Source organism: Homo sapiens, chromosome 4 (assembly GCF_000001405.40).
Source record: "Homo sapiens chromosome 4, GRCh38.p14 Primary Assembly".
Lineage (NCBI taxonomy): Eukaryota > Metazoa > Chordata > Mammalia > Primates > Hominidae > Homo > Homo sapiens.
In genome coordinates, this window is record NC_000004.12 from 184,890,214 (window position 1) to 184,903,712 (window position 13,499).

General features: G+C 44.7%; 1 long non-coding RNA gene across 3 annotated transcripts, besides 2 other annotated features; it reads right to left on the reverse strand.

The window, feature by feature from the left end:
* Nucleotides 1–2,786: 2,786 nt before the first annotated feature.
* LINC01093 (long intergenic non-protein coding RNA 1093) lies at nucleotides 2,787–9,248 on the reverse strand. Of its 3 annotated transcripts, none has more exons than NR_039976.1 (3): nucleotides 9,094–9,248; nucleotides 7,135–7,354; nucleotides 2,787–3,927 (listed from the first exon to the last, which is right to left on the reverse strand). It is a non-coding gene; the product is annotated as a long intergenic non-protein coding RNA 1093 (long non-coding RNA). The 3 variants fall into 3 exon arrangements; NR_039975.1 differs by having other exon boundaries at nucleotides 7,122–7,354; NR_039977.1 differs by lacking the exon at nucleotides 7,135–7,354.
* Nucleotides 3,377–4,576: an enhancer, noted in NCBI's record as "CDK7 strongly-dependent group 2 enhancer chr4:185814744-185815943 (GRCh37/hg19 assembly coordinates)". NCBI's record gives its function as "activates an origin of replication core promoter dependent on BRD2, BRD4, P300/CBP, MED14 and CDK7 cofactors, with strong dependence on CDK7, by STARR-seq in HCT116 cells {active_cell/tissue: HCT116}" and the evidence as "EXISTENCE:reporter gene assay evidence [ECO:0000049][PMID:35650434]".
* Nucleotides 6,906–7,195: an enhancer, noted in NCBI's record as "active region_22244". NCBI's record gives its function as "activates an Ori minimal core promoter by ATAC-STARR-seq in GM12878 lymphoblastoid cells {active_cell/tissue: GM12878}" and the evidence as "EXISTENCE:reporter gene assay evidence [ECO:0000049][PMID:35858748]".
* Nucleotides 9,249–13,499: the final 4,251 nt, after the last annotated feature.

Here is a 13,499-nt window from a genome sequence, read left to right on the forward strand (position 1 = left end):
AAGACGGAATCAGATGCAGGGTTTCAAAGGGAGACAGATGCAAGAAGTCCATTCAGATGCCTGTAGCTTCCATTCCATGCCTGCAGCTTCCCATTCGGATGCCTGCAGCTTCCCATCCCATGCCTGCAGCTTCCCATTCGGATGCCTGTAGCTTCCCATCCCATTCCTGCAGCTTCCCATCTCATGCCTGCAGCTTCCCATCCCATGCCTGTAGCTTCCCATCCCATGCCTGCAGCTTCCCATTCTCCAGTTTCTTACCCACCACTTGTTGCCGAGTGACCCAGACAAATCAATGACTCTCTCTACACTTCTGGGTCCTGGCCTGTCAAACTTAGAAACCAAGAAAACTCACCTTGCAGTGTCATCACAAGGGTGAACTGAGACAGAAGCACTTTGTAAACAGTAAACTGCTGTCACAATGTCACCATTATTGTCGTTAGCTAGCTGGAGTGTGGGATATAAAAACAACAGATGGTTTCTGCTTCCTTCCGAGGAGATTACAATCTAGGAAGCACGTGCACTATATTCACATGAAAATATTTAAAGGTAGCCACGTTCCGGAAGAAAGGCATCATCCAAGATGTGCCTAATCTAAGTCTAATTTTCCTATAGATAATCATAAGACAGGAAGGGAGTATGTTCTCAGAGTGCCTACATCTAGATTCATGGTATCCTTGCTTTAAAGATGCTTCAAAACACTTCCTAGCAGAATCTCTTTTATGTTGCAGAGTCTTTCTCCCAAATTAATGGCCCAATGGATCACGGCCAGTGACAGGCCTTCTTCGTCTATCACATCTAATGTCACTTCATACCACAGTTGGCCCTCGGAATCCAGGGGTTCAACATTCTCAGATTCAACTAACCATGGATGGAAAGTATTCAGGAAGCAAACAAAAAAAGATGGTTGTGTCTGTACTGAACATGTACAGGCTTTTTCTTGCCATTATTCCCTACGCCAAACAGTATAACAACTATATACATAGGATTTATATTGCATTAGATATTATAAGTAATTTAGAGTTGATTTAAAGTATATGGGAAGGGGCTGGGCATGGTAGCTCATGCCTGTAACTCCAGCACTTTGGGAGGCCGAGATGGGTGGGTCACTTGAGGTCAGGAGTTCGAGATAAGTCTGGCCAACATGGTGAAACCAGTCTCTACTAAAAATAGAAAAAAAATAGCTGGGTGTGGTGGCATGTGCCTGTAATCCCAGCTACTTGGGAGGCTGAGACAGGAGAATTGCTTGAACCTGGAAGGTGGAGGCTGCAGTGAACTGAGATCGTGCCATTGCACTCCAGCCTGGGAGACAGAGCTAGACTCCGTCTCAAAAAAAAAAAAATGTATACAGGAAGACGTAAGTAGGTTCTATGCAAATCCTAGGCCATTTTCTATCAGTTAGTTGAGCATCACAGATGTTGGTATCCTGGGGTGGAAGGTGCCGGGGGTCCTGGAACCATTCCCCTGTCATACTGAATGGATCATAATTTACAGCACGTTTTCAGTGCCACTATATTATAAAAGCTTACATGATACTTTCATAGGATAGAAAAGATATTAAATTATTAACACAATGAAAAAAAAAAAAAAACAAAAAAACCCCAGCACTATAGCCACAAAAATCACTCAGGAAAACATCTGCTTTGATTCATTGTACTACTCCCCATCACACTGACCAAGGCCTGTGGAGGTTTCCCTGTGGAGGTTTCTGTTTACCGCAACTGTGGCACAGCCACCAGACCAGGGTCCAAACACAGCGTAAGTTTCACTGGCTGTGCTCTGGATTTGTTATGCCATTCTGGATAAATCATGCAAATTTGGAGGAATTTGGACTATTTCAAATGTTGCCCATTCTGAAATTGAGCAATCTCCAGTAGTATTTTATTGCTATTTTACATAGCATTATTTAAAATTTGCATGATTCAAATTTGCCTGAAATGTGAGTGTATTGTTCAAATGACAGCATCTTAACAGAGCAAACAGCATTCAAATGACCTCCATATCAGTGGAATAAAGGTGGGAACAACTGACTTGCAGGGGGCTGGCTAATGGGGGAAGCACTTTTTGAAGGATGAACATTTTGAATATGTTGAATAAAAATACATTTTGAGTATGTTTGAATAGAGAGTGATTTGGAATGTGCTGAATAGAAGACATATTCTAATTCTATAATATACCACTTCTTTGGTACCACTGGAAATGGCTCAATTTCAGAATCAATAGTTCTGACTTCTGCACTTTAGAAAGGACTTTGGATGATTTCTTTTTTGAAAAGCTATGCCATTGTCATCCTATGGGTTTCACTCAGAGGCATGATAAACACCCAGGGTGGGGAATGAAGACACCCTCAAAGAGTAGGGAATTCTGCCTCAAATTCCTGAGGGCCCCAGAGTGGGATCTGCTTCGTCAAGCACAGCGCATGAATTATGCAATATTTTTCAATAACTAAAAGTAACCATTAATATCTGCCTGAAAGAAGCTTGACCTGGGAGTATTATCTTTGGTTGCCAGAGGATACATTCAATCCTTTTTGGTGTTTGTTTGAATAATGGAATAGACAGTTTAGGTTGCTTAGCTGAACACAGAGCACATTTTTATCCTGAAAGGGAAATTAGAAATCCTGACTTTAAAACAAAGACAGGATTCCTTCTCTGCTTGGATCAGCACATTAATCAGCTAATAAACAAATATTTATTAAGTTCCTGCAATGAAACCTTTGACTTTCCTGTGTAATAACTTTTGACAAATTCTCTAATATCCTGGCAAAGAAAATATTTTCTCTACCAAGTCATCTTAAAACATGTTTATTTTTCCATTTCATCTTTGAACAAACTAAAGGTGTTTCATTTTTTTGCCCCATAGAGATGGGTTATTCAATTACATGTCTCTTTCCAGTTCTAAGTTACACAGCCTTCGGTCAGCAAAACAAATTTATTTTTCCATGTTGAAAAAGATAAACTCATAAGATAAGATCACCTACCTAATGGTTCCAAAATCTGATTTGTGCGTTAAAATCACATGGGGAAACTATCGATGTATAATCAAATGCTAGCTAATTTGCCATTAGTCCAATTTCATTTTAGGGACCACTGACTTCATTTTACAGGCAGGGAAGTTGAAGGTAACACAATTTGTGGCAGAGTTGGCCAAGAGACCCCAAATCTCCTCCCAGCTTACAGTCCTGTTTTCATTCTACTGAACCTTCCCTTACATGAAACAACTTCCAGGATTAAAGAGATAAATATCTGTCAATGAAATTTTAAATGGATTTTTGGACATATCTCTTCTATTTGTTTCCCCTGAATTTCTACTTTCTATGAGTACATTGGATGTCAAGTTCCTTAATAGCAAGAACCTTTATGAAAAGTGACCAACAGCACAAAATCCTATACTAAGTACTGGTCAGAACAAACTTCGAAGACACAGTTTCATCCATTAGGAGCTTATTTACTCAGCATTTACTGAAGGCTCACTCTGTGCATACTCTCTGCTAGGCCCTCTGGGGATATAAGAATTTTAAACAGATTTGCTTCAAAGGAACGCGCAGTCTCATCGAATAGAGAGGACCCAAACATACAAAAAGGTAACTTAACCAATTTGTGCAGTAATAGCTCTTGTCTCTGGGTGTTTTCGTTAAATTAGCTGCTGTAACCCCAAAAACTCCCAAATGTGTAGTAGAAATTCCTGATGGGTGGGTAGTTTTCCTCCAGGTGGTGACTCAGGGCTCCAGTCTCTTTCCATCTTTTAGCTCTCTCATCTTCAACACGTGGTTCCCGGGGCCATTGTGTTTTTTTGTATCAAGTTGATAGAAGGGACACAGCAGTGGGGAATCTTTGGGAGGTGAATCATCTTCTTTCTTTTCTTTTACACTCTATTGGCACTATTTCACACTTAACTGCAAAGGAGGTGAGAGTGCAATGTGCTGTCCTCCTAGAAGAGAAAACGGAAATAGAAGAGAAACTCATTAGTTACCCTACAAGGGGCTTTGGTGTTCTTATCAGTAAAAGAGATCCTTGTGAATGCTCTAACATTCTCTTCTAGGTGGGGCTTCCCTTGGGCCCCAGAGGACCCCATCTGGAGATCATTGTAGGCGAAAGGAAATCGTTCTGGAGATCATTCTAGGTTAAAGGAAAGAGTTGCGCAAAGAAGAGGAAGGGATGTCAAATAGCAGGCACGGCGAGCCTGAGGCCAGTGTTCAACTGGAATGGCAGGTGATGTGGAGAAATAGGCCCAAGGCTATATATATATTTGTTGGTGTTGGCTTGTGGTGGCCTTGAATACCAGGCTAAGGAATTTTACCAACATTTTAGGATCAAACCAAAACTCGTTTAGACTTTATAAAGCTGGGCAAGGGCTTTTTAAGACCCAGCCCTAGTTTGCTCCTCTCTGGGCGCTGCTCAGTTCGTAGTATTGACTGCCAGCTTCTCAGAAGATAGCAGCAATGAATCTGGCAGCTGGAACGTGTCTCCGTCCTCTCTGCCTACCCCAGGAGATTGTGTCTGCACATGGCTGTTGTTGGACTCTGGGTGAGTTTTCAATTATTGGTTGACAGTGTTTTAAGAAGGTTACAGTCCATCAACAAGAGTGCTTGCTTCATGGTCCTCTCCTCGCTGAATCAGCTCTAAGGTGACCCTCTGTTTGGGATCCTCCTTAACCACTAGGAAGCTCTCAGCTGAGTTTCCCATCCAACCTTGGTAGCTCTGCAAGGCCTTACAGCAAGTGTTCTGCACACTAATTTCCCCGGCCTCCTTTTCTTCTACTTTTCTTCTGATTTGTTTTTAACATCTTATTACAGCATAAAATTTTATAAACCAATACTTATAAATGTAATAAATAAAAGCAAACAAATGCTAGCATACCATCTTGAAGCCTGTTCTAATGAAATACAATATGCATAGGTAAATATATAAAAATAAACGACATCGCTATTGAATCCAAAGAGAACTTGGCCAGCCTGTCTGCCCATGACGTTTTTTAACCCAAGTGAACCAGTAGCTGAGTTGGAATGTCAGGCTCTCTTCCTGGACTGTGTGGTGGCTGCCTTCCTAGACCATGGAACCACAAGGGACAGAGGTCTTAAATGGGTTCCCCTTTGAGGCCAGGCAATAGGACCTAACCTTACCAACAGAATTACCATTAACACACACGTAAAAACGAATGTCTTCTTTTTTGTAGGATGGGGAGGGGCAGAGAGAGGATCATTTACAAAACAGATTAAGCACGGGAAAGCCTGTTTTTAAAAATAGTGTCATAATAGGGAAGTTCTTCCCTGAAAGCATGTGCACAGCCACTCTTGCTAATATGGTAACAAGATTCCACCCTTTCCTTCCTGAGACTAGGTCATGCAGAGAATTTAGTGAGTAGATATTTTCTGAGGATTCTTTTTGGCTCTTTCATGGGCCAGTCACGGTCCTGACATGGGTGACCACCCAGAGATGAATGTGAGGAGATGACACAGGATTCTCTGGCCAGATGGAATAGTGCTGGATGTATGCATGCATACCTGCCATTTCCACATGTATAGTGCTTTTTTTCTGATTATGCAAATAATGTATGCTTACTGTAAAAAAATTATGAAAAATGTAGAAAAGATAAAAACTATTCCTCACCCCATCTTCCAGAGACAAACTATACTTCACACATCTCTTTCCTGCTTTTATATATATACATATATCTCACCACAATGCACTATCATTTCCTGCATGTATATATATATATATATATGTGTGTGTGTGTGTGTGTGTGTGTGTGTGTGTGTGTGTGTAGGAAAGAGATGTATTAAGATGTATTACAAATGTATAACATTGTATATGTCTTTTGTCATCTGCTTTTTTTGTATTCAATTTTATATCATGAGATCTTTGACCATCTCACTGAAAAATCTTGAAGGACATTATTGGTGAAGGCTGATAGAAATGGACCATGATTTCCCCAGCCGTCTCATGTTGCTGACCATTTCAGTTGTTTCCAGTTTTAAATGCAACAGGAGAGAGCGTCATGTCAGTAGCTAAGCTTCTGCAACACACCTAAAGGAAGCATGTTGCTGAGTGCCCTGCTCTGATCCCCTTGGAGAAACGCTGAGGACGGATTTGATTTCAAATACTGTAAATCAGGCCAGGTGTGGTGGCTCAGGCCTGTAATCCCAGCACTTTGGGAGGCTGAGGTGGGTGGATCACCTGAGGTCAGAGTGTGAGACCAGCCTGGCCAACATGGCGAAACCCCGTCTCTACTAAAAATATAAAAATTACCCAGGCATGATGGTGTGCCTCTGTAGTCCCAGCTACTTGAGAGGCTGAGGCATGAGAATCGCTTAAACCCTGTGAGGTGGAGGTTGCAATGAGCCGAGATCATGCCACTGCACTCCAGCCTGAGCGACAGAGCAAGACACTGACTCCAAAAAAAAAAAAAAAAAAAAGCCACAGTATGGGTTTCTATGCACATATGGCAGCGAGCCCATTCATTGACTGTCAGGTAGCATCTACATAAAATGGAATACTATTCAGCCTTTAAAAGGAATGCCATTTGGATATATTCTACACCGTGAATGAACCTTGAAAACATGCTAAGTGAAATAAGCCAAATACAAAAGGAAAAACATTATATGATTCCCTTTACCTGAGTATCTGAGATACCTAGAGTAGTCAAATTCAAAGAGAAAAAGTAGAGCAGAGGTCGCCAGGGGCTGCAGGGGTTGGGGGAAAGGGGAATATTGCTTAATGGGTACGGAGTTTGTGTTTGGAATGATGAAATGTTCTGGAAATCAGTGGGGTAATGGTTGCACAACATCGTGAATGTGCTTACTGCCACTGAATTGTATACTTGAAAATGGCTAAAATGGTAACTCTTATGTACATCTTTCCGCAATTTTAGAAAGCCACAATGAGGCAGAATTACAACACAGGAGGGTAAATACTAAGGTTCTGCCTAAAGGCTTGGTCCTCCTCGTGGCCTTGGATGACCTCATCCCCCTCGAGGGGGACGCCCGGGGACTTTCCCACCCTTCTGAACCCAGCCTTCTCATTCTCTGATTTTCATCCAGGCTCCCCTATTCCAGCACAGCCTCCATTTCCTCAGGTGTCTCGTAAGTTCACCCCCAACCTCTGAAGAGCTCCACCCCTCCTCACAGGGCAAGCTCACTCCTCGGTTCTTCTTCCCTTCCAGGGCTTCCATTCTTATCCCGAGTTTCCAGCTTCAGCCAGGTGCCCAGGGATGCTTGCTATGGCCGGATCCAAAGGCCAAGGCAAGAGGAAACAACGCAGCTCTCTGGGGATAAGGGTGGGCGGCATCTCCCAGTCGGGTTTCCTTTTCAGCATCTGCCGGGAGGGCTGCAGGCCGGCTGGGTATTTTCATAGCTGATCTACTCAAACAAACACATCTCCTAAAGACAAATGTTGGTTATGTTCTCTGAAGACACTACAGTTTAAATCCACATTGGGGAACTCCCCCACTAGCCAGGCACCTGTTCTGCCCTTGAAGTCGGCGGGTCCCCATCCCTGGGCAGAGGAGCTTTTGGTTTCTGACGTTGTCCTCCTGAGGCTGCTGGAATCACAGAAAGACCTCATTCCCCTTTAATGTCAGCTTTCCCATCCCCTGCGTGTGGTCTCAAGACCTTGGAGCTCTTTCTTATAACAGGTGGGTGGGGGCGGGGGGCAGGGGAGGGGTGACAGTTTCTTCTGTCATATAAACATAAAAACTTCAGCAACAGTGTCTGATTGTGTCAAAGCTGAGACCCAGATATGCTGGAATGTGGAGACAGAGACAGTCCTGGTGTGCTGGTGTGGGGGAGCTTAAGGGACATCAGACCAGCTGCTGAACCACACCCTTCATTTGCCAAAAGCTCCATGGGGAGAAACGGGGATCCTGTCGAAAGCTTGCACATATTCTGACACATGCAGATATGTCTTATGGGCTTAGCAGGCCTGGACAGAGGCAGGGATTGAGCACGAGGTTGGCGAATGTCTGACTCCCCACAGGCGAAGAAGGAAGAAGGCTGAAGGAGCCACGCTCACAGCAGGACAGGAAGGCTGTGGGTGTCTGGAAAGCTGTGGGTGATGTGCCTTGATTGCCCCCGTGGTGGAGCCCAGCACTCCAGGAGGGAGAATACTTGTAAAGAATTAAATTAGAATGATTTGCCTGGGAGGTGGAGTCAGCAGCATAAGGAGACTGCTAAAAGGGCGAGAGCAGAGCGTAGTGAGAAGTTTCTATACAGGCTGGAGATCCCTGGAAGCTAGTGGTGGTGGAGTGAGAGAGGAGAGAACAGACACGTCAAAGGCCAGGGGCCGTCGCTGGTGGCTGGACTAGGTGAGCAGCTCAGTGTTAGGGGGGCAGGTGGCCTCCGTGGGAGAAGCTGAGGGCAGCAGGATGACCAGGGCCACAGGAAGCAGCTGGGTTATTTGCAGACAGCTCCCACCTGGGCTGCATCCATCACCCACGCACTATCTTATCCTCAGAGACGCAGGCCAAAAACGATGGCTTCTTTTCAGTGGCTACATTTTGAATCAGGTGATGCTTGATAAAAATGAAACATCCTGCTCTTCTTCACCCGACCTGCCTTTTCACCTACCCAAACAAACAAAAGCAAAAATAAAACAAGACAATAATAGCAATGAGGCAGAGGAAAGACCGAGTCCCATCCTACAAGAAGGGAGGCCTCCGTCTCCCCACAGCCACTCCTATCACCCCAGATCATCACTGCCTGAATGCTGCCTTTACCATCTCAGCCCAAGACACTGTGTTCTTGACATTTTAATCATTGGCATCATTATGTCATTTCTTTGGCAATCGAAAGCAATGTTCCTGCTCCTGTGTGGGTTTGAACAAACAGCCCAAGGGGAGAAATAATGAATTCTCAAAGGAAAAAAAGTCTGTTTCTCATCTCAAGCACCTGGAAGGCTAAGGCGGGAGGATTGCTTGAGGTCAGGAGTCCGAGGCTGCAGTGAGCTATGTTCACACCACTGCACTCCAGCCTGGGTGACACAGTGAGACCCTGTCTCAAAAAAAAAAATCCTGTAAGCAATGAGACACACAAGGAGTAATCAGCACACAGAGCCTTAGCACACACTCCAGCCTGCACACTCTGCAACGTTCTGCTCTTACCTCAGTGTCACAAGGTGTGGCTTGAGCAGCTCTTGCCCAGACAGATAAAAAGCAGGTGTAACATAGTGACCCCAAGGGACCCAAGGGTGCCCATGGTTTGCAAGAGAGGAAAGAACAGAGAGAGCCTGAACATTCCCAGAATTGCATTGCTCACTAGCCAAGCTGTGGCTTCCTTGACACATGTAGCTGGCATGGGCTCCGCCCACAAGCAGGCCTGGCTGAGCAGAAGGCAGCTTCCAGGAACTCCAGGGTACAGTTATTGTGTTGATCCAACAGGTGCCCAGGCCAACACCAACGTGGGGCCTGAAGCTGCCTGCCCACTCCTCTCTGGCCTCTCAACCCTGACCAACAGCCACCCTCACAGCAGCATGGGCCAAAGGGTCATGGGACAAGCCACAAATGCAGTTGACACAGCCTGGGTACATCATGCACAGCAGGGTCCACTCTGTTCCACCATCAAAGACCCCTGCCTCCTAATTGGGCTTAAGAATGGGCAGGACGCACCTGTGCTTTAGTAGTGCAGCTCCCATAATGGCTGGATTGCCACATGCTGGTATCTCAGTACAGCTGCCCAGGTGTCCTAAACATGTTTTAGTCATCTTTCTAGAGAAGGTAGAGACTATGGTTATAGTAACAGGAAAAGTATGAAACAGGGGAAAGTACCAGGATGTCCCCTCATGGACTGTCACTACTGGCCGTCACTACAGAACTTTTATTCATTGTTTCATTGTTTTTAAAACGTGCGTATGTGCAAGGCCTCAGATCTTTCTGCTATGAGTCCCTCATCGTTGACTTGGGACCACAGACTTCGGCTAGAAAGCTCACTGTCATGCTGGATGAGGGCATGGCTCAGGCACCGTGGCTTATCGTTTGGGCTGAGGACAGATGTAGCTTTCACTGAACTCTCTTCCAGTGCACCAGTGCAGTTTTGGGTAGCGGGGACGTAGAAGTGTGCCCAGAAGGGCTGAAGACGTTTTGCTTTTTTTGTTTTTGTTTTTGTTTTGAGACGGATCTTGCTCTGTTGCCCAGGCTAGAGTGTAGTGGTGCAATCTCGGCTCACTACAAACTCCTCCTACTGGGGTCAAGTGATTCACCTACTTCAGCCTCCCAAAGTGCTGGAATTACAGGCATGAGCCACTGTGCCTGGCCCAAAGATGTTTTTTAAAGAGAAATAGAGGGAAGAGCAGCTGCCATAGGGAATGGAAATGTGGGAGAAGAGAGGCTATTTAAGAGGATTTTTTTATTTTTTGAGATGGGGTTTCACTCTGTCGCCCAGGCTGGAGTGCAGTGGTGCAATCTCGGCTCACTGCAACCTCTGCCTCCCAGGTTCAAGCCATTTTCCTGCCTCAGCCTCCTGAGTGGCTGGGATTACAGGCACGTGCCACCATGCCTGGCTAATTTTTGTATTTTTAGTAGAGATGGGGTTTCACCATGTTGGTCAGGCTGGTCTCGAACTCCTGACCTCAGGTGATCTGCCCTCCTCGGCCTTCCAAAGTGCTGGGATTACAGGCACGAGCCACTGCCCACCGCCCGAGGATTTTTTTTTTTTTTTTTTTTTTGAGACAGAGTCTGGCTCTGTCACCCAGGCTGGAGTGCAGTGGTGCAATCTCAGCTTTCTGCAACCTCCACCTCCTGGGGTCAAGCGATTCTCCTGCCTCAGCCTCCCAAGTAGCTGGGATTACAGGCAACTGCCATCATGCCCAACTAATTTTTGTATTTTTAGTAGAGACGGGGGTTTCACCATGTTGGTCAGGCTGGTCTTGAACTCCTAACCTCCAGTGATCCATGGCCTCGGCCTCCCAAAGTGCTGGGATTCCAGGTGTGAACCCCTCTGCCCGGCCAGCTTAAGAGGATTTTGAAGGGGCTTTAGTGATTCCATGTTCCATGTGACCAAGAAATCACCATCAAAAATCGATATATGTTTTGTCGTAACAAGGAGATACACAAAGGGATAGCGACTACCTCTGCCTCAGGAGTCAGCAAATACTTCACTCAAGAACTGATCTTGAAGGATGGGTGAGAATTTTCTAGAATGAAAAAGATGGATAGGTTCGTGTGTCTCAAAAGCAAGCCCAGGACAGATGCCAGTGGTTACGTTTTCACTGGTCTGAAAGGACATGAGAAAAATAAAGACCAGGTAGGAAGCTTTTCAAAAAGCTAAATTTATCCAATTGAAAGGAACTTAGGTTTCGGATGATGTACTTTCTACTTTTGGAGGGTTGCTGTTTTTCTTTCTCTTATGAAATCAAGCTGAATATAGATGATACCATCTATGTTATCATTTACATTCTCTCTTACTTAGCCTAATAAAAACATCACGTTTCCCACATTTTTTAAAAAAGGTACTGACCTTTGAAATGCAGAGGTCTGAGGGCTACCGTAGCACACTCTAAACTAAGGTGCTGGATGGTGCAGGCTGCCCCGCTGGGCAGGCCATGGTGCATGTGGAGAACTGGGAGGAAGCCAGGGTATGAGGAAGATGGGACAGAGCAGTGGTTTAGGGTTAGATGGAGGACGGTCTTTCATAGGGACCTTGGACTTCATTCTTTAGGAATGATTTGGGGTTTATAAATGAAGGAGAGAGCAGATTATATTTTACTGGAACCCAGGAAGATTAACTTTGGTTCCAGTAAAGTAGTGGACTGGAGAAGAAAGAGATGAGACAAAAAGACCAAAACCACTGATGCAATTTTCCAGGGGTAAGACGAGGGCATTCATTATGATCAGTGGTGATACAGACAAGGAAACCAAGCAAGATTCGAGAAACTCCTAGGACAGCATTGGCCTCAAAGACATTCGTGTGATGAATGCTTTAGAGCCCTGTCAACTCATAGACACAACCAACATGTATATTGTGTTATACAACCAGGATATCTGAGGAGATCTCAGAGCTGAGTCTTAAAGACCGATTAGTCCTTCGGGCCTACAAATCCTAGTTCCTGAGCCAACTCAAACAGTAAAGAGCACTGGGGTACCACCCGTTCTTAGTGCCACCTAAGAACATAGGCTTTTGGGTTCACTGGCCAGTACATGAATCTGACACTTTTAAAAATAGGAGATGACAGATTTAAAAGACTCTGGGGCAGGGGGAGGTCAGGCAATTTAAAAGAACAGAATGGATTTGCAAGTATAGATGAGAAACTACAATGAACACTTGGCATCAGTGAGAGGGCTGCAATAGGGAATGATGGTGACTGCGGAAAACTCAAGCTCATGTGCCCTACCTAAAGGGGGTAGCTGCCATTCTACACCAGCTAACTCTTGCCATATAGGAGTGGAACCAGATTTTTGAAATTTTGAACGAAGCTGGAAATCTGAATTTTTGTTTTCTGCTAGTTCAAGTTTTGAAACATAACAGCCACACCATGTGAGTTGAAACCAATTTTGTTGGCAAGCTGAATTTGTTCCACTGACCTCCAACCTTAGATCTTTGGCCCAGGAATTAGATAACTATTAGGCTAATGCACAAGACCTCATACCAGAAAGAGAAACATGAAGATAGGTAGTGATAGAGGTGAGGTATGAATCATCTGTTAGAAGAAAGAAAAGAGTATGAGACATTTTTTAACTTACAATGAATAAATCGCTATTCATAATTCTCCACTTCTGTTACCAGAGGATGTAATAATGGGTTTTGGAAAATAGGCAACACTTGTAACCATCAAGTGATGCCGTTGCCATTGTCACATTTGTCTTTCATAGTTGTTTCATACGAAGGAAGAACAGGTATTGTTATCCTCATTTGGCTGTTGAGAAAACGGAGGCATGGCAAGGCCTGCAGTTCCCTAAAATCACTGAGTGGTAGTGGCAGGGCTGAGTCTAGAACTTTGTCAACTATCACCACCTCTGGCATCGGCCTACACAGCCACTTGTGAACAGGTCCTCTTAGAACAGGACATTTCAGCAGCTGCTGGTCTCTGAAAGTGCCAGAGAGCCTCAGCGCAAGGAGGCAAGGTGGGAGAGAAGTTGCAGAAAGCACCGCAGATGCTCCTGGCAATGCTCACCGTCCCACGCTTGCTCACGGCCCCAGCAGAGGCAGGACCGTGGATACCAATCCAGGAGTGTGAAGAACAGCATCTCTTGTCTGCACAATCCCTCAGCGGCTCCGCTGGGGACTTTGCTGCACTCAGTTTTTCTCACCTGCAACTTGTCAGACAGCATTCTCTTTTTGTCTTCATCGCTATTTTCATCAGAATTTGGAAGGAGCTATAGCTTATAAACACAAAATGGCAAAACAAAAAAATTTTAAAAAGAATTTGGAAGTGGCTGGATTTAGGACTGCTGGGTTGTTTCTTAGGTTCCTAACTTTGGGGTGACTTATTTTGAAAGTCACTTTATTGGGGCTATTCCCAATACTTGCATTCACCTTTGCAGACTAGCTTGAAAACATATATAATATTTGGAAA